The 25,696-nt window shown below is 37.6% G+C and overlaps 1 protein-coding gene and 2 long non-coding RNA genes across 22 annotated transcripts in view, besides 1 other annotated feature; 2 read left to right on the top strand and 1 right to left on the bottom strand.

Moving 5' to 3' along the window:
- ZNF215 (zinc finger protein 215) overlaps nt 1-25,696 on the bottom strand; it is a 67,998-nt gene that overhangs the window by 25,962 nt on the left and 16,340 nt on the right. For 7 of the 19 annotated variants that reach the window (XM_047427569.1, XM_047427566.1, NM_001354853.2 and 4 more), the window contains 3 exons: nt 25,247-25,379; nt 24,821-24,916; nt 10,415-12,772 (listed from right to left, as the gene is read on the bottom strand). In XM_047427569.1, the coding sequence (XP_047283525.1) occupies nt 11,931-12,772; nt 24,821-24,916; nt 25,247-25,379 (1,071 nt within the window). In that variant the 3' untranslated portion in view covers nt 10,415-11,930. Of the gene's footprint in view, nt 1-10,414; nt 12,773-24,820; nt 24,917-25,246; nt 25,380-25,696 lie in introns of those variants that run through there. The other 12 variants (XR_002957191.2, XM_047427572.1, XM_047427571.1 and 9 more) reach the window with 4 other exon arrangements.
- LOC102724711 (uncharacterized) lies at nt 5,231-12,769 on the top strand. The gene is made up of 3 exons (XR_002957236.2): nt 5,231-6,922; nt 11,935-12,221; nt 12,688-12,769. It is a non-coding gene; the product is annotated as an uncharacterized LOC102724711 (long non-coding RNA).
- Nucleotides 13,915-14,416: an enhancer, noted in NCBI's record as "H3K4me1 hESC enhancer chr11:6975277-6975778 (GRCh37/hg19 assembly coordinates)". NCBI's record gives its function as "activates a minimal SCP1, AML or CMV promoter by ChIP-STARR-seq in naive H9 embryonic stem cells {active_cell/tissue: H9 hESC(naive)}" and the evidence as "EXISTENCE:reporter gene assay evidence [ECO:0000049][PMID:30033119]".
- LOC107984019 (uncharacterized) overlaps nt 20,991-25,696 on the top strand; it is a 49,559-nt gene continuing 44,853 nt past the window's right edge. For both annotated transcript variants that reach the window (XR_001748111.2, XR_001748112.3), the window contains exon 1: nt 20,991-21,032. This is a non-coding gene — a long non-coding RNA (uncharacterized LOC107984019). The remainder of the gene's footprint in view (nt 21,033-25,696) is intronic.

The following is a 25,696-nucleotide window of genomic DNA, read 5'->3' as shown; positions in this document are numbered from 1 at the left end:
TGTATAATAAGATAGGACACAAACAAATGGAAAAATATTCCAAGTTCATGGATAGGAAGAACCAATATTGTGAAAATGGCCATACCGCCCAACGTAATTTATATATTCAGTGCTATCCCCATGAAGCTACCACTGACTTTCTTCACAGAATTAGAAAAAACTACTTTAAATTTCATATGGAACCACAAAAGAGCCCATATAGCCAGGACAATCCCAAGCAAAAAGAACAAAGCTGGAGGCATCAGGCTACCTGACTTCAAACTATACTACAAGGCTACAGTAATCAAAACAGCATGGTACTACTACCAAAACAGATATATAGACCAATGGAACAGAACAGAGACCTCAGAAATATCACCACACATCTACAACCATCTGATCTTTGACAAACCTGATAAAAACAAGTAATGGGGAAAGGATTCCCTATTTAATAAATGGTGTTGGGAAAAGTGGCTAGACATATGCAGAAAACTGAAACTAGACCCCTTCCTTACACCTTATACAAAAATTAACTCAAGATGGATTAAAGACAAACGTAAGACCTAAAACCATCACAACCTACAAGAAAACCTAGGCAATCCATTCAGGACATAGGCATGGCCAAAGACTTCAGGACTAAAACACCAAAAGCAATGGCAACAAAAGCCAAAATAGACAAATTGGGATCTAATTAAACTAAAGAGCTTCTGCACAGCAAAAGAAACTATCATCAGAGTGAACAGGCAACCTACAGAATGGAAGAAAATTTTTGTAATCTATTCACCTGAAAAAGGGCTAATATCCAGAATCTTCAAAGAACTTAAACAAATCCACAAGAAAAAAACAAACAAAAGGGTATCAACAGATGCCTCTCAAAATACGACATTTATGTGGCTAAAAAGCATATGAAAAAAAGCTCACCATCACTGGTCATTAGAGAAATGCAAATCAAAACCACAATGAGGTATCATCTCACACCAGTTAGAATGGCAATCATTAAAAAGTCAGGAAACAACAGATGCTGGAGAAGATGTGGAGAAATAGGAATGCTTTTGCACTGTTGGTGGGAGTGTAAATTAGTTCAACCATTGTGGAAGACAGTGTGGAGATTCCTCAAGGATCTAGAACCAGAAATACCATTTGACCAGCAATCCCATTACTGGGTACCCAAAGGATTATAAATCATTCTACTATAAATACACACATACATGTATGTTTATTGCAGCACTATTCACAATAGCAAAGACTTGGAACCAACCCAAATGCCCATCAATGATAGACTGGATAAAGAAAATGTGGCATATATACACCATGGAATACTATGCAGCCATAAAAAAGGATGAGTTTATGTCCTTTGCAGGGACATGGATGAAGCTGAAAACCATCATTCTCAGCAAACTAACACAAGGACAGAAAATCAAACACTGCATGTTCTCACTCATAAGTAGGAGGTGAACAAAGAGAACACATGGACACAGGGAGGGGAACATCATACACCAGGGCCTGTCGGTGGGTAGGGGAATCAGGGAGGGATAGCATTAGCAGAAATACCTAATGCAGATGACGAGTTGATGGATGCAGCAAACCACCATGGCACGTGTATACGTATGTAACAAACCTGCCTGTTCTGCACATGGATCCCAGAACTTAAAGTGTAATAAATAATAAAAGAAATGTCAACTTCCCATATACTTAAAAAAAAATAAGCATCTACCTTAAGAAACAAAAAAGTACACCCAAATCAAGCAGAAGGAACAAAATAATAAAAATGAAATTAAAAATAGAAAAATAATCAATGAAAATGATAAACCAGTAGCCAGACTAAGAGATAAATGGAGAATACAAGTTATGCTATCAGGAAAGAAGGGACTATAGATCCTATAGATATTAAAAGGAAAACAAGGTAATATTGTGAACAATTCTGTCCATAGAATATTATGCCTATAGATTCCACAACTTAGATGATATAAACATTTTTTTTTTCTTTCCAACTTTTATTTTTTATTTTAGTTTGGGGGGGATATGTACAGGTTTGTTACATGGGTAAATTGTGTGTTACTAGGGTTTGCTGTACAAATTATTTCATCACCCAGATAATAAGCATAGTACCTGATGGGTAGTTTTTCCATCCTCATCCTCATACCACCCTCCACCCTCAGCTAGGCCCGATGTCTACTGTTCTCTACTTTGTGCACATGTGTACTCATGCGGTATTTGGTTTTCTGTTCTTGCATTAATTTGCTTAGGATTATGGCCTCCAGCTCCATCCATGCCGCTGCAAAGGACATGATTTCATTCTTTTTTATGGCTGTGTAATATTTAATGGTATATTCTTGAAAGACACCAAGTGCTAAGGCTCACTCAAGAAGAAACAACCTGAATAGCTCTATACCTCTTAAAAAATAGATTTCATAATTTAAAACTTTCCAACAAAGGAAGCTCAAAGCCTAAAGACTTCACTGGATAATTCTATCAGATATTTAAGGAGAAATAATACCAGTTTTACTGAAATTCTTCCAGAAAATAGAAAATAAGGAACAACTTTCCAACTCACCTAATTATACCAGCATTAGTCTAATCCAAACTAGACCAAGGCATACAAGAAAAAGACCAGTATACTGAAGACAGAACTAAAATACTAAAAAATAGTCACAGATGACATGATTGACTATATAAAAAAATCTCAATGAGATCACAAAAAACTACTAGAATGAATTTAGCACCCTCATAGGAAGCTAAGTCAATATGAAATAATTGTATACACTGGAATAAACAAATGGAAATTCAAGTTATAAAAACAGTACTATTTATAATGTACTAAAAATGTTAATTACATGGAAGTATATCTAACAAAATCTTTGTAAGATCTGTATGCTGAAACCTACAGAAGACTGATAAAAGAAATAAAAAACCTTAAGACACACCATGTTTACATATTGCAAGACACAGTATTTTTAAGATGTGAAATTTCCCAAAATTGATCTTTAGATTTGTCTATAAATAGTTCTAGAAACATCTTTTATTTAGGTATCTTTAAACATTGTTTGAATAGAGTGAACACATTTGTACACTAAAAACATGTTTCTCAAATTGATGTCCATGTAGCACTTTGGAAACATCTTTTATACACGTGTTTAAAAACAGGTTTTACATCATTGCATACTAGTGAATACCTCCAGTCACTGAAATAACACCATTTTCAACCTGGTACACAAGCGGCACTCTCAGCAACACTTTTACATGTGTGACTTTAAACTCTGTATAACATGTACTACCGTGTTCAATATGCCTTTACTGAAATAACACTGTTCTCAATTTGGTGTGGAAGTTTCACTCAGATATTTCTTCTGCATCTTTGTCTTTCAACACTGTTTACTCACATTAATATGGAGGCCACATCTGAGTTCACCACAAATGATGCATGTAAAGACCCATGTATAAAAGATGATGTAGGAGTTCTACTTGTACAGCTTGTTGGTAGTATTATTTCAGTAAATGAATGTATTCACTATGATGTAATGCATGTAAAACTTTGTTTAAATACAAATGTATAAAAGAGTTTCTTAGATTGTTACTTGGGCACTCATTTGAGAATGTTATTTCAGTGCATGAATACACACACTAATTTATGTAAAACAGTGTTAAAAGACACATATACAAAAGAAGATCTTTAGATTTAATGCAACCCTAATAAAAACTCATCTTGATTATTCTGTAGAAATAAGCTAAGTCTAAAAATTTATATGGAACTGCAAAGGAACAAGAAAGCCAAAGACATTAAAAATAAAAAAAAAAAAAGACCTAAGAAGACTTACATGATCTGATTTCAAGGCTAAATATTCATTAATCAAGAGACTAATGTACTACTGAAAGGATAGGCACAAAGATCAGTGAAAGAAAACAGACTCCAGAAATGGACTGACATAACTGTTCTCTGACTTTTGACACATGTTCAAAGGTAATTCAATCTACAGTCTTCTACAAATAGTACAGAAACTGCTGGATATCCATAAGCAAATAAAGCTTGACCCATACCTCACATAATGTACAAATGTTAACTAAGAATAGATCATAAACCTCAATGTAAAACTTAAAACTCTAAAACTTCTAGAAGAAAACAGGAGAAATATTTTAGGTATGACAGTGAAAGCACAATCAATGAGAGAAACAATTGATAAAATGAACTTCATCAACACTATAAACTTTTTTGAAAGACACTGTTTAAAATGAAAGGACAAGCCATGGACTGTGCAAAAAATATTTACACAAAATACATATCCAATAATGACTTCCATCTAGAATATATAAAAAACTGTCAAAACTTAACAACTAGATTTAAAAATAGCCAAAAGATTTAAGAAGGCATTTCATCAAAAATATATGACAAATAAGCCCATGAAAATATAGTCATTCAGAAAATGCAAATTGAAGTGATAATGAGGTACTATTACATACTTATTACAATTGCTAACATAGTGGTATGGTAAATGTTTAGCTAGGTCTCCAGAAAACATTTAAAAAACCCGGATTAACAGCATTTGTTTCTGTGGTGTAAATCTTGGTTGATTCCAAGCTATAACATAATTTCACTTAGCTCACAAAATTTGTGATAATTTAACAGTTATTTTTTGTGAGCCAATGTGAGCTTATTCTAGTACACCATAGCTAAAGCAAAGCAAAACTGGGAATATCCAATGTTAGTATGTGGAACATCAGGTACTCTCATCCATTATGGTCAGAATGCCAATTGATACAGTCATTTTGTAAAATAGTTTGACAGTTTCTTATCAAGATAAACATACACCTACCATAGGACACAACAATCTCACACCTAGGTATATACCAAGATAAATGAAAACATATCTTAACACAAACTGTTATATATATATTTGTAACTTTTTTTATATTTAACTCCAACTGGCAACAATCCAAATGTCTTTCAACTGGTGAATGAATGAGTTATTCCTATATATATGAATAACAAATTTAAAATGAATAACACATATATGTGAAGAACTCAGATGGTTCATATATAGTGTAGAATATATGTAACCATATTTTAATAGCAATTTTATTTTATTGCCACTCAGCAATAAATAACATGCAATAACATGTTTGAATCTCAATTAGGTAGGCTAAGGGAAAGATGCCAGACTAAGAAACCTGTATACTCTATGAAACCACCTATATCACATTCTGAAAAGGTAAAATTATATATAGATAGGCCTAATCAGGGGTCATGAGGGCTGGGGTTGGGGGAACAGCTTGACTATAAAAGAATAGGAGAGAATTTTCTGTAGTGGTGGAACTGTCCTATATATGGATTATGGTGGTAGTTACATGACTGTGTGATTAATTCAATTGAATTCACTAATTAAATGCCCATGCCCAGGAAAGATGGATGAGTAGACTAGAAATAAAGGGCACTAAGAAAATGGGTAGAGCTGTTAATTTGCTTGAGAATTGATAGTTTCTGAATATACTGAATATACTGAAGAGAAACCTAGAATACAAGGGCCCTTCAGAAACAAGGACTTATGACACACAACATGACACAGGAAAAATATAGGTGATAGCTGATGCAAGGCCAATTTTAGAAACATTACTGAAACTTACAATCAGCGTCATTGGTAAGATTAGGCCCAGATGTCAAGCTTAGATCAGAGGTTTGCAAACTTGCATCAGAATTAGAGGGCTTGTTACAAGAAAAATTACTGTCCATTTTCCAGAATTTCTGCCTGATTAGGTCTGCACTGGGGCCCAAGGACTGATATTTGTAACAAATCCCAACAGATGTTGATGCTGCTGGTCTGGGGACCACCCTGTAAGAACCAGTGACACTATATTACAAGGTGAAGACACCAAGCATTACCAAGTGAGATGAACAGTCAAACTTAAAAAATACACTTCCACTTGCTGTAGATAACATAATAGAGTACAGAAACCAGTCCAAGAAGGAGTTGGACTTCCAAGGATGTGAATCATAGATAATATATAAAAGGGCTGGGGTTCACTCTAAGTCCCTTATCAGATCAATTTGGATCCCATACCAGATATCCTCTATTCTCCCTTCTAGATCCACTCTCCACTTTTCTCCTCTCTGGGAGCCTGGCCTAAATGGATGACATCAATGGGTTCTTTAACTCCATGGCTATAGCCAATGGGAGTCCCTGGCAGGAGATAAGAGGGTTGATTTTGACTGCTGCTTTCCTAGATCTCAGGTTGCAGCTCTTACCAAAGTGCCCTCTTTACATGACTCCTAGATTCTGGTGATGACTCCTTTGTCTTGCCTTTTCAGGCCTAAGGATTAAAAAGCAAACAAACAAAAAAAAACCCTTATTACTAGCTTTTGGGTATTTTCCTATTTCTTATGGTTTCCCTAAGCTTTGCCCACACCTTTAAAAATAGTCCCGTAATATTAAACTATTCTTATTCTAAAATTGAGAATGACATCTGTTTCCTGCTGACCCAGAGGAAAACAAAGATTGGGACCAAAGCGGCTCTACAAAATAGATCCTCTAAGCAGGATTCAGCATTAGGCTGCAGAAAAGCACAGGGATAACCTTTCTGTTGGGGAAACATTGGCATTTGAGGACATCAAGATTTCTCAGATTATCACTGTTAGAATAGAATAAAAGTGCAGGTAAAGGACAAGGTGTCGAGAGTGCAAGTGGTTGTGGCATTAGTTATGGTGGAAAAAAATGATTTTTAAATATGTGGAGCCACCTGGATTCTGTCACCCTAGGGAATGAACATATGGAAGAAGAGCAACTAAAAGCTGTGAATACACAATTAAGAATCAAAAGAGGATAACCAAAAGGCCCGATGGCAGTCTGAAACCCAGCGGCTGTAAGGTAGATATGGCTGACAATCAAACCCTACTCAACATAAAGTGTTGCAGAATTGCCGCACCAATTAAATGCATATCCTGGTGACAGTGAAGGTAAGAGAACTGGTGAGAATATTACATAAGGTATTTGGGCAGACACTGATGAAGCTGAGAATTTGGGCACCCCATTCTTTTGAATCTCTCTTGCCAATGAAATGGTACTCCTTATCCACTTGAAGGTATCAGACCTTCTCTCCATTAAAGCATATTCTTGACTACACCTTACATTTGCCTTACAAGCTGATACCAATTCTCTTCAGCTCCCACCCCTACCACTTGTCATTGGCTCCAGGGTCATAATGAGACTTAGATCTGAATATAACCCTGACAGAAAAAAATGCAAGCATTCTTTGTTCCTACAGAAGGAAATACCTGTTATTTTAAGAGTTACAGGCTTGGCAATTCTATTAGCAAAAAGCCTGGAGAATACATGTGGGAGCAAATTCTACGATGGACCAAATGTAAGTTACATTTGGGTTGGATTTATTGTCTCAGATGCAAACATCTGAAACCTGGGATTTAATGAAATCACCAGAAGAGTAACCTATTCTGTTAATTCTGGCATTCAATGGAAACACCAGAAAGAGCAACCTATTCTGGTAAGTTGGCTAATTAAAGCCTAGAGTCAAATTTGACCTACAGCTAATAACAAAACTTCTCTGACATACCATAGAGAGAAGAATCCAAAGGTCCAGGGTGATAGAATATTGGAATCAGTTTAGTACTCTCTTCACCAAAGATTTAAAGATATTTTGAAAAAGAAGCAAAGGCAACCCTGAAGAGCTCTGTAGTGTCCATTTTCTGAAGGCTGGAGATGATGGTAAAAGCTGTTGCCCTGGAAATGGGTTTCTTGCTCTTAATCATTTAATTCCACAGTGCCAGAGTGACGAGTGAAGTAATCAGGGTATCGATCCAGGGCAATCTATGGCAATGACACCTGGGTTACAACTCTCTAAAAATGAAATAGCTGGACAGCCTAGTAAGGTGCTTATGATATATTTAAGTAGAAGGAAGAGAGCCTGGGTGAAGCACTTGCTTTACCCTATTATCCTCATCTTTGGCCTCACCTCTCAGTGATTGTTGATGCTGCTGAGTGGGAATCTGGTGGTTCTTGACTCAAACTTGTTTTTCGCTTGCTCAGGCTGAGTTATGGAGCTCCTTTCTTCCTCTTTGTAGGCTGGATGCTGGTCTTTTCTTCAACTCCCATTGCTCTTCCTTTATGCAGACTGCGCATTCTTTGTCACTCTTTGGAGCTCATATGGTCTTGTGATTTTTTGAATCCTAACTTGCGCTGTTCCCTCCTGTAACTTGACTTTTTAAACGCTCTCAATATATATTGTCAAGTTGGCCCTCCAGAAAGTTAGTAATTATTTGCATTCCCATAGTGGCATGTGAGTTACATTTCTTAAGAGTCCCACTAAAACTGAGTGTTATTATTCCTTTTATATGTTGTCTATCAGCCCAATATGTGATCTTTAAGTTTTTTAGTATTAGTGAAAATAGAACATTTCCCTTGTTTATTGGTTGAGATTGGCATTTAACTTTTTAGACCAGTTTTCCACAGCATGGTCAAATTTTCAAAAAATATATCAACATATATCATATATATTCATATATGTATACATCTGTATATGATATATATGTAAATATTGAATAGTTTCCACTCTAATTTGAAGTGACAATTTACGATATGCTAAATTCTTATAAACACCTAGGTCTAGTTATAAACAATTGTCTCACACATGTGAATAGACTAGTATCACACTATGTTACTAGTAATGTTCTCATTACCTTGCTTTTAAAAAAATGGTCACAGCTATTTTCTTACTTCTACAAAGTAAACTTTATAATCACTTTGTGAAATAAATCCTCCCCATTGAATATCTGATTAGAATTTTTCATTTGTAGTTTAATGTGTGGAGACTCAAAATCTCTATAGTAGTCTTCTCATTCCAGACACAGCTTTCCTCTTATTCAAGATTATTTTTGAGCAAAGTTGCTATATTTACCTTATCTAAATTCATTTATTAAATCTAACAGTTTTTCAACGAATTTTATTAGGTTGTCATGAGTCAACCATATCAGCAGCAAATGATTTTCTCCTCCTTTGGAGTTTTATCTTGTTACTTCAATTAGCATTTTCAGAGTACTAAACATGGAATTAACAACAATTTTATCTCACTATTACCTTTAGGCTGAAGCTCAAACTTCTAAAGTGGCTTACAAGACCTCTCATGATGTGCCCCTTGAGTCTCTCTGTAGCTTTACCTCTATGAAATGAAAGCTCCATTCTTTCCCAATGCTGTATTCTAGTAGATGAACTTATGTTTCCTGAACTTGCCATGCCCTCATCCCTTTATAGCTTTGTGCCCCTCGTTTTGCCTTTATCATCTCTCCTAACATTTCCACACTTGCCAGACACAATCTGGTTAATCTACACTCTTCATGTTTCAGCTTAGATATCGACCTTTGATGGTATATAGTAAAACTCAAATATGTGATGATTAATATTGAGTGCCAACTTGATTGGATTGAAGGATGCAAAGTATTGTTCCCGAGTGTGACTGTGAGGGTGTTGCCAAAGGAGATTAACATTTGAGTCAGTGGACTGGGAAAGGCAGACCGACCCTCAATCTGGGTGGACACAATCTAATCAGCTGCCAGTGTGGCCAAAATAAAAGGCAGGAGAAATTGGAACGACTAGACTGGCTTAGTCTTCCAGCCTACTACTTCGTCCAGTTCCGGATGCTTCCTACCCTTGAACATCAGACTCCGAGTTCAGCTTTGGGACTCTTGGACCTTCAACCACAGACTGAAGGCTGCGCTGTCAGCTTCCCTACTTTTGAGGTTTTGGGACTTGGACTCTTATGTAAAATTGGGACTTGGCTTCCTTGCTCCTCAGCTTGCAGGCAGCCTATTGTGGGACCTCACTTTGTGACAGTGTAAATCAATACTCCTTAATAAACTCCCCTTTATATATACATTTATCCTATTGGTTCTGTCCCTCTAGAGAACGCTAATACAATGTACTAAATAAACAGGCTTGTGAAACAAGGCTGCGAGAAGATGTTAATTGGCTATAAATGCTCTGCAAGAGCTTTAAATGCACTCCAAAAATTATTATTTGAAACTATGTTATGTTAAACTTAGTGAACATAGTAAACACTTTTTTAAGAAAGCTTGGAGATTTAGGAGAAAAAAATAAGTATTTTACTTAGGCTCAAATAGCTAGTTGTTCAAAGAAAAGATAAAGAGTGAAAATAGTACTTCTATCTTTCAACCATCCAAAAGAAAATCACAGCTTATTTTCAAAAATTGAAATATTGGACTTGGAATACCTAAATTTAAAAAGTCAGAATCCATTGTATTTAATGTAAGTACTATGATGAATGAACATACCTCAAGAATTTTTTACATTCAGAGTGCTTTTCTCTTGTTAGGCTTCTCTACAAGTTATCTCTTGTTTATACGAATTTCTATATCAATTACTTATGTAGGGCTTTGTCCTAATAAAACTTGTGTTGCAATATAAAGGATGAACAAACATAGATTTTGACATTATTTAATCATAGGAGTTCACTCCAGTATACCTTTTCTGCCTTTGAATAAGGTATGAACCTTCACAAAAAGCTACCATCATCATTAATTGGGAATGTCTCCAGTGTGAATTTTTTGGGGCAGATTAAGTCATACTTCTTGGCTCAAGAACCAGATGGGATCCTGAGGTAGTTTACAGAAGACACAGTTCTGGTGTACAGAGTATAGGAGACTTTAATAACTTCATAATGTCTGGTATAAATGATATACCTAAGGCTATGGACGTCTCTCCAGCCTAAATTCCCAAAGGTACAGTAAGTCTGCACTGAACATCATCAATAGGTTCTTAGGAACTGCAACTTTAAGTGAAATGATGTATAACAAAACCAATTTTACCATAGACTAATGGATACAAACAAGAGTTAAGTTCCTAAGGCAAATGTCTGGTCACAACATCATCAAACTTCTAAAGACCCCAAACGCTTCCAATATCAGACATTAAAATAAATCTGAGCTATATACACATTTAAGACGGATTAATAAAAACAGATAAGATAATTATTTACCCTGTTATTCCAGTACAGGGCCATGGGTGGACAGAGCGCATCCTAGCAGCTCAGGGCAATGGTGGGAACAAACCCTGATTAGGAGCCATTCCACTGCAGGGCACACTTCCTCACAAACTCAGACTGAGATAATTTAGATATGTCAATTAACCTAATGTATACATCTTTGGGGTTTGAAACTGGAGCACCCGGAGACATAGGGAGAGTGTGCGAACTCCACACAGTGTCCCTGGCTGGGAATCGATATTTTTCTCATCAACATCATAACAATTATAACATTATAACAAAACAAAAACATTTTTCAAGGACCTGCTATAAACAAATGCAGATTTTAAGAATACATATAGATTAACAGCAATACATACTTCTCCCATTGCAGTTGATAACCCTTTCCCAACTCTAGTCTCCATTCAACAGCAAGACAACAAAGGGTATTGTCAGGAGTGGAGTAAATGGCTGTTACTGTTGTCTTAGCCATTGATTCAGAGATTTCTGTCCTTAGAAGTATTCTCTTATATTCGCATGAGCTAATGATTTCTTGTGACCTTCTTAAAAGGGCTGAGTTTTATTAAATATCAACTCCAAGAGTATTGTTTGGCTTTGCCTAATGTCTACTTCGTCAATAAATCAGGTGGATATTAGTATGCTATAGACCTATTTATGAACTAGGGAGAGGTGAGGGTAATGGATATCAAAATAATGATAAACAAATACTTGTATGGTGATACTGTGGTTTAACTCCAAAGCCTTATGGCTTCATCTGAAAACCAGGAAAATTCCTTCAAACAGATTTCTATCCAATGATATTTCTATCCAACATTAATTCTGTGATATCATTTAAAGAAAAATCTGACAAATGTTTTCTTACATTATATTCATGAGATTTTATCCAGCATAAATTCATGATGTTAAATGAGTTCTGCATTCTGACTGAAGGTAATCTTTCATTTTTTCTTTTTTCAGGACTTATCTCGAGTATGCAGTTTTTGATGTTTAACAAGGTTTGAACTCCTGTTGAAGGCTTTACTACATTCCTTACATTTGAATGGTTTCTCTCCCGTGTGAATCATTTGGTGTCGAATAAGAGAGGAGCTCCGGTTGAAGGATTTTCCACAGTTAACACATTGATAGAAATTGTTTCCAAAATGGAGTGTTGGATTATTACTGTCTTCACTTTTACTGAAGGCCTTTCCACATTTATTGCTTGTGCAGGCCTTTGCTTCAGCATGAAGTTTTTGATGCTTAGTAAGGTTTGTACGTCGGTTGAAGAATCTCCCACATTCACTGCATTTATAGGGTTTCTCTCCTGTGTGAATGATCTGATGTCGAATAAGGGATGAACTTCGGCAGAAGGCTTTCCCACATTGATAACATTCATAGGAATTCATTGTAGTATGACTTTTTTGGTGTCGAATATCTGTACTCAAACTCAAGTCATTCCCATATTCATATTCTGAATGTTGCTTACCTACTGAGTCTAAATTAAATTTGAAGTAAGTTTTAAACTTATCACATTTTGGAGACCCCTTTCTTGAAGGAATTCCCACTTGTATAGCACAAATTGAGCTAACTGAATTAATATCAAAGCTTTTCTTATTTTCACTACATTCAAAATCTTCCTCCTCAGTGTAAATTGTCTCAGGAATGAAAGCCTCTTGTGGCAAATTTATGTCCCATTTTTTCTGGTTCCTATATAACCAATTCTCACCTTTCCAGGCATCTGAAGAAGGGTGTCCACTTTCGGTAAGCCTTGTCATAATCACTCCATGGGATGATTCTTCTCCAGAAATACTCTTCATGTCTAAAGAGAAATAAAAAATGCCATGAACTAGAAGGGAAACTGCTTCAATAGGAAATGGAGGCTGAACTGTATAAGGTATATGCATATACCACGGGTCTTAAATACAGAATGGAAATGTGAGGCAAGGTTAGAAAAAAATACTTATAAAAGAAATAAATGGTACAAAAATGTTAAAAGGAGGTTAGTAAATAAAATAGGAGAGCTATTCTGGAATACTAAAAAAACGGTATAGGGCTCGAGTAAAATATCTTTACATGAACAAGGATGCGGGTGGCATATCATATCATAATTCAAGTTATCACTGGTTCGTAACTAGTGTATGAAGTCTCTGCCTAATATTCCTTCTTCTAGCATCTTGTTTATCCCAAGCTGTTTACCAATAAATATTCCTTTCTATAAAACACCAGTAATAATTTTAAGAACATGTCTGTATTCCCAGGCACCATACCTTAACCAGCTAAAAGCAAACTTGCAATCATAGTGCCCCCATTTTCCATACAGCCACAATTACTCCCTACATATAACAAAGGCAAAAAGAACTCTAATATAAGATAGCAGGAAGTCCTTTTTCTGGGCTCAAAATAACTCCCAATTCCAACATTAGTGCTTTGGTACTTTTCTACTGTACTTCCTAGAATTCAAAACTTTACCGTTCTAATTAAGATTGGGTCTCTTCCTTTCACCTGTCCTCATTTCCGTTTTATTTAATTATGTTCCACTTCCTTTCTCAAAATTCCTCTCATTTAGCTTCTATATACTCTGTATACTCTATATTCTAGCAATTTTTTAAAAATTAAATTTCATATATGGAGCCAAGATGGCCGAATAGGAACAGCTCCGGTCTACAGCTCCCAGCGTGAGTGACGCAGAAGACGGGTGACTTCTGCATTTCCATCTGAGGTACTGGGTTCACCTCACTAGGGAGTGCCAGACAGTGGGCGCAGGACAGTGGGTGCAGTGCACCCTGCGCAAGCCGAAGCAGGGCGAGGCATTGCTTCACTCGGGAAGCGCAAGGGGTCAGGGAGTTCCCTTTCCTAGTCAAAGAAAGGGGTGACAGATGGCACCTGGAAAATCGGGTCACTCCCACCCTAATACTGCGCTTTCCCGACAGGCTTAAAAAATGGCGCACCAGGAGATTATATCCTGCACCTGGCTCGGGTCCTACACCCACGGAGTCTCCCTGACTGCTAGCACAGCAGTCTGACATCAAACTGCAAGGTGGCAGCGAGGCTGGGGGAGGGGCTCCCGCCATTGCCCAGGCTTGCTTAGGTGAACAAAGCAGCCAGGAAGCTTGAACTGGGTGGAGCCCACCACAGCTCAAGGAGGCCTTCGTGCCTCTGTAGGCTCCACCTCTGGGGGCAGGGCACAGACAAACAAAAAGACAGCAGTAACCTCTGCAGACTTAAATGTCCCTGTCTGACAGCTTTGAAGAGAGCGGTGGTTCTCCCAGCACGCAGCTGGAGATCTGAGAACGGGCAGACTGCCTCCTCAAGTGGGTCCCTGAACCCTGACCCCCGAGCAGCCTAACTGGCAGGCACTCCCCAGTAGGGGCAGACTGACATCTCACACGGCCGGGTATTCCTCTGAGACAAAACTTCCAGAGAAACGATCAGACAGCAGCATTCTGGTTCACAAAAATCCGCTGTTCTGCAGCCACCATTGCTGGTACCCAGGCAAACAGGGTCTGGAGTGGACCTCTAGCAAACTCCAACAGACCTGCAGCTGAGGGTCCTGTCTGTTAGAAGGAAAACTAACAAACAGAAAGGACATCCACACCAAAAACCCATCTGTACATCACCATCATCAAAGACTAAAAGTAGATAAAACCACCAAGATGGGGAAAAAACAGAGCAGAAAAACTGGAAACTCTAAAGAGCAGAGTGCCTCTCCTCCTCCAAAGGAACGCAGTTCCTCACAAGCAACGGAACAAAGCCGGACGGAGAATGACTTTGACGAGTTGAGAGAAGAAGGCTTCAGATGATCAAACTACTTCAAGCTACAGGAGGAAATTCAAACCAAAGGCAAAGAAGGTGAAAACTTTGAAAAAATTTTAGACAAATGTATAACTAGAATAACCAATACAGAGAAGTGCTTAGAGTAGCTGATGGAGCTGAAAACCAAGGCTCGAGAACTATGTGAAGAATGCAGAAGCCTCAGGAGCTGATGCGATCAACTGGAAGAAAGGGTATCAGTGATGGAAGATGAAATGAATGAAATGAAGCAAGAAAGGAGGTTTAGAGAAAAAAGAATAAAAAGAAACAAACAAAGCCTCCAAGAAATATGGGACTATGTGAAGAGACCAAATCTACGTCTGATTGGTGTATCTGAAAGTGACGGGGAAAATGGAACCAAGTTAGAAAACACTCTGCAAGACATTTTCCAGGAGAACTTTCCCAATCTAGCAAGGCAGGCCAACATTCAGATTCAGGAAATACAGAGAATGCCACAAACATACTCCTTGAGAAGAGCAACTCCAAGACATACAATTGTCAGATTCACCAAAGTTGAAATGAAGGAAAAAATGTTAAGGGCAGCCAGAGAGAAAGGTCGGGTTACCCACAAAGGGAAGCCCATCAGACTAACAGCGGATCTCTTGGCAGAAACTCTACAAGCCAGAAGAGAGTGGGGGCCAATATTCAACATTCTTAAACAAAAGAATTTTCAAACCAGAATTTCATATCCAGCCAAACTAAGCTTCATACGTGAAGGAGAAATAAAATACTTCACAGACAAGCAAATGCTGAGAGATTTTGTCACCACCAGGCCTGCCCTAAAAGAGCTCCTGAAGGAAGCACTAAACATGGAAAGGAACAACCGGTACCAGCCACTGCAAAATCATGCCAAATTGTAAAGACCATCGAGGCTACGAAGAAACTGCATCAACTAACCAGCAAAATAACCAGCTAACATCATAATGATAGGATCAAACTCACACATAACAATATTAACTTTACATGTAAATGGACTAAATGCTCCAATTAAAAGACACGGACTGGCAAATTGGATAAAGAGTCAAGACCCATCAGTGTGCTGTATTCAGGAAACCCATCTCATGTGCAGAGACACACATAGGCTCAAAATAAAAGGATGGAGGAAGATCTACCGAGCAAATGGAAAACAAAAAAAGGTAGGGGTTGCAATCCTAGTCTCTGATAAAACAGACTTTAAACCAACAAAGATCAAAAGAGACAAAGAAGGCCATTACATAATGGTAAAAGGATCAATTCAACAAGAAGAGCTAACTATCCTAAATATATATGCACCCAATACAGGAGCACCCAGATTCATAAAGCAAGTCCTGAGTGACCTACAAAGAGACTTAGACTCCCACACAATAATAATGGGAGACTTCAACACCCTACTGTCAACATTAGATAGATCAACAAGACAGAAAATTAACAAGGATACCCAGGAATTGAACTCAGCTCTGCACCAAGCAGACCTAATAGACATCTACAGAACTCTCCAGCCCAAATCAACAGAATGTACATTTTTTTCAGCACCACACCACACCTATTCCAAAACTGACCACATACTTGGAAGTAAAGCTCTCCTCAGCAAATGTAAAAGAATAGAAATTATAACAAACTGTCCCTCAGACCACAGTGCAATCAAACTAGAACTCAGGGTTAAGAAACTCACTCAAAACCACTCAACTACATGGAAACTAAACAACCTGCTCCTGAATGACTACTGGGTGCATAACGAAATGAAGGCAGAAATAAAGATGTTCTTTGAAACCAGTGAGAACAAAGACACAACATACCAGAATCTCTGGGACACATTCAAAGCAGTGTGTAGAGGGAAATTTATAGCACTAAATGCCCACAAGAGAAAGCAGGAAAGATCCAAAATTGACACCCTAACATCACAATTAAAAGAACTAGAAAAGCAAGAGCAAATGCATTCAAAAGCTAGCAGAAGGCAAGAAATAACTAAAATCAGAGCAGAACTGAAGGAAATAGAGACACAAAAAACCCTTCAAAAAATTAATGAATCCAGGAGCTGGTTTTTTGAAAGGATCAACAAAATTGATAGATCACTAGCAAGACTAATACAGAAGAAAACAGAGAAGACTCTGATAGACTCAATAAAAAATGATAAAGGAGATATCACCACCGATCCCACAGAAATACAAACTACCATCAGAGAATACTACAAACACCTCTATGCAAATAAACTAGAAAATCTAGAAGAAATGGATAAATTCCTCGACACATACACCCTCCCAAGACTAAACAAGGAAGAAGCTGAATCTCTGAACAGACCAATAACAGGCTCTGAAATTATGGCAACAATCAATAGCTTACCAACCAAAAAGAGTCCAGGACCAGATGGATTCACAGCCGAATTCTACCAGAGGTACAAGGAGGAACTGGTACCATTCCTTCTGAAACTATTCCAATCAATAGAAAAAGAGGGAATCCTCCCTAACTCATTTTATGAGGCCAGCATCATCCTGATACCAAAGCCTGGCAGAGACACAACAAAAAAAGAGAATTTTAGACCAATATCCTTGATGAACATTGATGCAAAAATCCTCAATAAAATACTGGCAAAGCAAATCCAGCAGCACATGAAAAAGCTTATCCACCATGATCAAGTGGGCTTCATCCCTGGTATGCAAGGCTGGTTCAATATACGCAAATCAATAAATGTAATCCAGCATATAAACAGAACCAAAGACAAAAACCACATGATTATCTCAATAGATGCAGAAAAGGCCTTGGACAAAATTCAACAACCCTTCATGCTAAAAACTCTCAATAAATTAGGTATTGATGGGACGTATCTCAAAATAATAAGAGCTATTTATGACAAACCCACAGCCAATATCATACTGAATGGACAAAAACTGGAAGCATTGCCTTTGAAAATTGGCACAAGACAGGGATGCCCTCTCTCACCACTCCTATTCAACATAGTGTTGGAAGTTCTGGCCAGGGCAATCAGGCAGGAGAAGGAAATAAAGGGTATTCAATTAGGAAAAGAGGAAGTCAAATTGTCCCTGTTTGCAGATGACATGATTGTATATCTAGAAAACCCCATCGTCTCAGCCCAAAATCTCCTTAAGCTGATAAGCAACTTCAGCAAAGTCTCAGGATACAAAATCAATGTACAAAAATCACAAGCATTCTTATACACCAATAACAGACAAACAGAGAACCAAATCATGAGTGAACTCCCATTCACAATTGCTTCAAAGAGAATAAAATACCTAGGAATCCACTTTACAAGGGACGTGAAGGACCTCTTCAAGGAGAACTACAAACCACTGCTCAATGAAATTAAAGAGGATACAAACAAATGGAAGAACATTCCATGCTCATGGGTAGGAAGAATCAATATCGTGAAAATGGCCATACTGCCCAAGGTAATTTATAGATTCAATGCCATCCCCATCAAGCTACCAATGACTTTCTTCACAGAATTGGAAAAAACTACTTTAAAGTTCATATGGAACCAAAAAAGAGCCCCATCGCCAAGTCAATCCTAAGCCAAAAGAACAAAGCTGGAGGCATCACGCTACCTGACTTCAAACTATACTACAAGGCTACAGTAACCAAAACAGCATGATACTGGTACCAAAACAGAGATATAGATCAATGGAACAGAACAGAGCCCTCAGAAATAACGCCGCATATCTACAACTATCTGATCTTTGACAAACCTGACAAAAACAAGCAATGGGGAAAGGATTCCCTATTTAATAAATGGTGCTGGGAAATCTGGCTAGCCATATGTAGAAAGCTGAAACTGGATCCCTTCCTTACACCTTATACAAAAATTAATTCAAGATGGATTAAAGACTTAAACGTTAGACCTGAAACCATAAAAACCCTAGAAGAAAACCTAGGCATTACCATTCAGGACATAGGCGTGGGCAAGGACTTCATGTCTAAAACACCAAAAGCAATGGAAACAAAAGCCAAAATTGACAAATGGGATCTGATTAAACTAAAGAGCTTCTGCACAGCAAAAGAAACTACCATCAGAGTGAACAGGCAACCCACAAAATGGGAGAAAATTTTCGCAACCTACTCATCTGACAAAGGGCTAATATCCAGAATCTACAATGAACTCAAATAAATTTACAAGAAAAAAACAAACAACGCCATCAACAAGTGGGCGAAGGACATGAACAGACATTTATACAGCCAAAAAACACATGAAAAAATGCTCACCATCACTGGCCATCAGAGAAATGCAACTCAAAACCACAATGAGATACCATCTCACACCAGTTAGAATGGCGATCATTAAAAAGTCAGGAAACAACAGGTGCTGGAGAGGATGTGGAGAAACAGGAACACTTTTATACTGTTGGTGGGACTGTAAACTAGTTCAACCATTGTGGAAGTTAGTGTGGCGATTCCTCAGGGATCTTGAACTAGAAATACCATTTGACCCAGCCATCCCATTACTGGGAATATACCCAAAGGATTATAAATCATGCTGCTATAAAGACACATGCACACGTATGTTTATTGAGGCACTATTCACAATAGCAAAGACTTGGAACCAACCCAAATGTCCAACAATGATAGACTGGATTAAGAAAATGTGGCACATATACACCATGGAATACTATGCAGCCATAAAAAATGATGAGTTCATGTCCTTTGTAGGGACATGGATGAAATTGGAAATCATCATTCTCAGTAAACTATCGCAAGGACAAAAAACCAAACACTGCATGTTCTCACTCATAGGTGGGAATTGAACAATGAGAACACATGGACACAGGAAGGGGAACATCACACTCTGGGACTGTTGTGGGGTGGGGGGAGGGGGGAGGGATAGCATTAGGAGATATACCCAATGCTAAATGACGAGTTAATGGGTGCAGCACACCAGCATGGCACATGTATACAAGTGTAACCTGCACATTGTGCACATGTACCCTAAAACTTAAAGTATAATAATAATAAAATAAAAATAAAAAAATTAAATTTCACTGACTTTTTTCTTGTAACTTCAAGTATGCCTAATAATTTTATTCTCCAACATTTATTGGTGACCAAATCATGTCAGCTTCGCACTCACATACATTACTGTTCCTTGTTTTCATCACTTTCTAGGACATCTCCACTTGACTATCATAGTCCTCTAGCTTAACAAATGAGAGACTGAAGTCATCTTCCATATTGAAAAAACTTCAGTGTCTTCATTTTTGAGTCTTTGCTTTTCTAATATTTATACTGGAGTCCATAAAAAAACAATAACCATTGTCCTTCGTCTCCCATATCAAATCTGTGCTTTGGTTCTATTATTTTATAAAATTTCCTGTCTCCGCCTCACCAGTGTACACTGGGTGTGTGGGGGCAGATAGCTTGTTCCTTTAATTCACAAGTCTTCAGAGAGAGAAATGTCTTCTAAACCTGGACCTAATTTAGATGAGATCCTAGACTTCAACCTTGATGCCATAGTAGGTGAGACTCTGGGGGTCTTATTATGAGAGAGTAAATATATTTTGCAAGGGAGAAGAACACAAATATTTTGTAGCCAGAGGACAGATTATGGTAGATCAAAATGGCTGCACATCCTTTGCCACACTCCCCATCCTGAAGTAGAGTTTATTCTGCTTCTCCTTGAATCTGGGCAGATCCAATGATTGCTAAGCCAACAGAATGTGGCAGAAGTGACACTATACCACTTCTAGACCTAGTCTTTAAGGTGACATCTTCTGATTTCTCTCAGGATGTTGCCTGTTAGAACCCAGCCACCTTGCTGTGAGAAGCCCAAGCCTCAAAGAGAGGCCACATGCAGGTGCTCTGGCCCATAAGAACAGTTAAGTTCTGAGAATCAGCCAGCATTAACTACCACCCATGTGATGTGCCATCTTGGACATTCCATCCCATTTGAGCCCTGGAATGCTGCATTCCCAGCTAACATCGTATGGAACATAAGAACTCCTCAGTCAACTCACAAAATTTGAGAATACAATGATTGCTCTTTTAAGTCACTATGTTTTGGGTAATCTGTTAAAAGTAACAGATAACCAAAAACAGTGTTCTAGTAGTATTTATGTAATAGCAGAATTTCCAATTGTATTTCCCTAATTAAATCTTTGTTACTCATGTTTGTACAACTCATTTTTCATATAACTTCCTCACTGTTTTTTATTTTGTTATTTATTTATTTATTTTAGAGACAGGGTCTTGCTGTTGCCCAGGATGGGATGCAGTGATACAATCATAGCTCACTGCGGCCTCCAACTCCTGAACTCAAGCAATCCTCCAAGCAGCTACGATTACAGGTATGCACCACCATGCCCAGCTTATTTTTTTGTAGAGATGGAGTCTTGCCATGGTGCCCAGTCTGGTCTTGAATTCCTGGCTTCAAGAAGTCCTCCTGCCTTGGCAAAGTCTACATCATGATGGAGACTATGACATAGATTTTGTGGTCATCTTTAATCCACCACAATCCATTAACTATTTGAGAAAATAAGTTACATTTATTGAAGTAAATTCCAGATTAATTTCTTATGTTTAGATGAGGAGATAGATGAAAGTAGAATATAATCAGAAAATGTTTCCTAGTTTTAAGATGGAAAAACATGTGTAAAATGAACAGATATAAAACAATGGGGAAATACAGAGTTACATAAATTTTAAAAAAGTGTGGCAGACACCATGAATAAAAGTAAAAAACAAAACTCTGAGATATCCCATTTGCCACAACTGTGATCCACAGAATTTAAATAAGATGTTAATACATTAAAAACCCCTACAGTTTTAATCAATAAACCACATAAACAGCCCTTTACTAAATGACAACCCAAAAAATAATTTTTACCTTTCTTATCTAATATCTATCCATCCGTCTTTTTTTCTCTTATTCCTATATGCACCACGGGCTGGAGATGTACAGGTAGGGTAAAAAGAAACATTATGCCTACCCTCAAAGAACATACAGCCTAATGTGGGAGACAAATATTCACAGAGACACATGTAAAATATAATTGTGATAACTGCTAAAAGGAAGAGTAAGGTGCTGCACAAGCGTACAACTGAAAAAAACCAAGTTAGGAAAGACTTCCTTAAGGAAATGTGCACTTATTTGAGATCTGAGGAATAAGGGTCAATTAGGTAAAGAACGGGGGGAAGAGTGTCCTATGTCAAAAGCTGGGATGGGAGAACACAAGCCACATTCCAGGGACAACCAGAATGCGTTCCCTTAGAATCATCTTTTCTCTGCTGCACACCAACACCTGTGAGAGTGCTTAGGACACAGTATATAGATGCTTAATATATATTTGATGTTGATTTTCTGAAAGTAGATAGGTGTGGCTTGAGTACAAAGAGTGAGGGGAGGATGTGGTGCAAGGTGAGATTGGAGAAGTAGGCAGAGAATAGAATGTTGTGAAATAAACAATACTGAAATCAATATAGTATTTAAAAAATGCAGATCACAAAATCTGATCTCCTTGGTTGCAGTATGGTTCCAAGATTGGAGTTGCGGCAATAATAATAGAGCTGAGAAGTATGCCAATGTGGTGGTTCAGGTGAGAGATGATGGTACCTAGACTAGCAAAGCAGCACTGCAGTTGGACAAAAGTGGAGACATTCAAGAGATAATGGGGAAGTAAAATAGGAACAAATATTAGAGAAGTGAAGGAGAAGAAGTTGTGTCAAGAATAGTTAAACTGTATCTTGTGTAACTAGGTAGAGGGCAGTGTCATTTACTCAGGGAATAATAGAAGAGTAGAAAGGGAAAAAAAATCAGACTTCAGTTTCATGGAATTTAAGGCATCTTTAAGATATCCCAGAGAAATGTCATAGCATATATAAATCTCCAGAGAAAAAGTCTGATCCAAGGATATACATCTGTAAATCCTATATATGTGAAATAATTTAAGTTTTAGTTGTGGATGTAATAAACTAGGGAAGAAAAGAGCAAGAAGAGAAGACAAAACAAGATTAAATATTGACAAACTCTGAAATTTATCAGATAGCTAGAGAAAGCTAAGTCTGCAAAAGACAGAGATAGAATAGCCAACCAAAGAGGAAAATCAGAAGTATTACGAGAACCTAAAAATGTTTTAAGAAAAAGGCATAGTTAACAGTGTGACTTGCTGCTGAGAATTCAAGTGAGATAAGGAATGTCTCAAAAATATCTATTGGAGTTAGCTACATGAAGTCATTAAAAACTTTAGCAACAACTGTTTCAGGTGAATGTCTGGGGTAAGAGCTAAATTGAAATAGGGTACGGAATAGGAGGTGAGGAAATGAGAAAAACAAGCATAAAGTACTTTGAGAAGTTTGGCTACAAAGAAGAGGTGAGAAAAAGAGTAATAGCTAGAGGAGGATGTAGGGTTGAATGAAAACTTTTAAAAATCAGTAACGACCAGAAAAGTTTAAAAAGCTGATGGAAAAATGAGACAGAAATGGTGAAAATACAAGTGAGAAAAGGTAGGGACAAATGAGGTCCAAAGCACAATGGGAGCGGGGACCGAGGGTATTTACCTTAGAAAGGAAGAAAAGAGTAATTTGCCTATGAAATTAATAAAGAATTCGGGTAAGTAATACCCAGTGTTTGCTAGGATGATGATAAAGAGATAATAATACTCTATTATTAGAGTATGAATTGGTATAACCTTTCTGTAGACAATTTAGCATAATGTAAGACAACTAAAAATATTTATACTCTTTAATGTCAAGTTCCTCTTCTAATAGGGTATCCTATGGAAGTTATCAGACATGCCTGAAAAATTGGCAACAATCTAAATGTCCAACAGTGGAGGGGCAGGGGGAATGGTTAAATGTATTATGATATAATTGAATATTTTATGGGAATTAGAAACCACATTTTCAAAATTAGTGAAATAGGTAATCACGATGGTATGTTAGGTGAAAAGAGGATATAAAATGACGTATTCCTGATGAATTCTGGAAAAATTTTGAAAATTGTTCCACAATTTCAGAAAAGAAATATTCAGAAACCACAGAGATAAAACATTACAAACAAAGAAAATGGCTTAAAAAATGTTAATACTACATAGCTCTGGATACTGAAGTAATGAGCAAGTTATATTCCTTATTTTTCTACACTTACTAGAACTTATATTAATATCACAATTTTATTTTCTCTTACAAAGTATTAACAAGAATGAGGAATAAACAAAAATGAAGAAGATAGGGAGTTAAGGCAAAAGTTAAGAAGTTCTCCAGGTAGAAGCTGAGGCAGGAGGATCACTTGAGCTCAGGAGTTTGAGGCCAGCCTGGGCAACACAGTGAGAACTCCGTTCCCAGAAAATAAAATAAGTGATACAGTTTAAAAAAAAAAAAAAAAAGGAAAAATGGAAGATTACTAGAAATCACTCTAGTATAAAGTTGACTTCTTTTCTTTAAAATAAAGAATAACATTCAAAGTTAGGTGGGGTAATTTTCATTGATGTAGCACTTACCATGTACCATGCACTGTTCTCTGTTGCCCAGGCTGGAGTGCAGTGGTGCGATCTTGGCTCACTGCAAGCTCCGCCTCCCGGGTTCACGCCATTCTCCTGCCTCAGCCTCCCTAGTAGCTGGGACTACAGGCGCCCGCCACCACACCCGGCTAATTTTTTGTATTTTTTAGTAGAGACAGGGTTTAACGGTGTTAGCCAGGATGGTCTCGATCTCCTGACCTTGTGATCCGCCCGCCTCCGCCTTCCAAAGTGCTGGGATTACAGGCGTGAGCCACCACGCCCAGCCATACCATGCACTATTCTAAGTGTACTAGGCACACCAACTCATTTAGTCCTCACAGTAACCTGGAGGTAGATACTATTATTAACTCTATGTTACAGATGAGGAAACTGGCAGAAAGGCTCTCTCAGGTCACACAGCTTTAAGTGTCTGTGGTCCTATCCCTAACCTTATGTGACTGTTTTACCACATAAGAAAAAGAACCTGTGAACAAAAGCGAATAATGTCTTTTCCCCCTCAAAGTTTAGGTTTTGCTATCTCCTTCCCAACTAACAATTCAAAGATTGGGTTGCACATTGTCTGTATGTTTAGGAAACAGAAGCTTCTTACTATGGCCTCATATCTACCTGGTTCTTACCAAAAATAGTCTTCCTTGGTATTTCTTTCTCCATTATCCATCTTTTTTTCTTACTCTCCAACTTAAGGCTCTCAAATGGTTTGGAAAGTAGATGTGCTGTTCATGGAGAAAATAAAAAGAACAACAACAACAAACATATATGACACTTCAGACATTTTTATAGAGAAGATAATTCTATCCCGACACAGTAATCCAAGCTGCTGAAGGGTAAGGCCAGAAGAGCACCATAGACTTGTGTATCTCTGGCTCAATATCAGAAAGGACTTTCATCCAGATGAGTCAGAAAATCTGCTACTGTGTCCAAAGGATATTAGCAAACCTCAACCCAGACCCAAAAGTGAACTTAGCCACTTCAGCAGTCCTATAGCTTTTAACGGTAGGAAGAGATTACTAAATGGACAGATTAGGTAAACATATAGAAACCACCTTTACGCAATGAATTCAGGTTCCTAAAGTTTTCCAGCATCACATTCCTGTACAGGTTCTTTACAGCAGAGTCCAGTTGCCCCCACTCTTCCTTGCTGAATTCCACAACCACATCTTTGAATGTCACTGGTTCCTAAAACATTAAGTTCCTTTTTAATCAAAGGTGTCACTCCCCAAAACACTACCAGAGAAGGAATGGATTTGAAGGAATAGGGTAGGAGCCAGAATACACCAGAAATTGATAGGACAATGTCTGAGGACAATGTTTGAGGTTCTAAGTGATGAAAATCAAATTTTAGTAAGGGCCAAACAAATTGGTACTATATATACTCTGTTAGGGATACAAAAGAAAAGTGAAGTGCAGTCCTTATTCTAAAGTAGCTTACAATACATGGTTGAGGGGGAAAAAAGACAACTGGAATAACTGTAGAACAAAAAATTACTATGCCT

Source organism: Homo sapiens, chromosome 11, assembly GCF_000001405.40.
Source record: "Homo sapiens chromosome 11, GRCh38.p14 Primary Assembly".
Classification (NCBI taxonomy): domain Eukaryota; kingdom Metazoa; phylum Chordata; class Mammalia; order Primates; family Hominidae; genus Homo; species Homo sapiens.
This window is presented reverse-complemented; position numbering and strand designations above follow the sequence as displayed.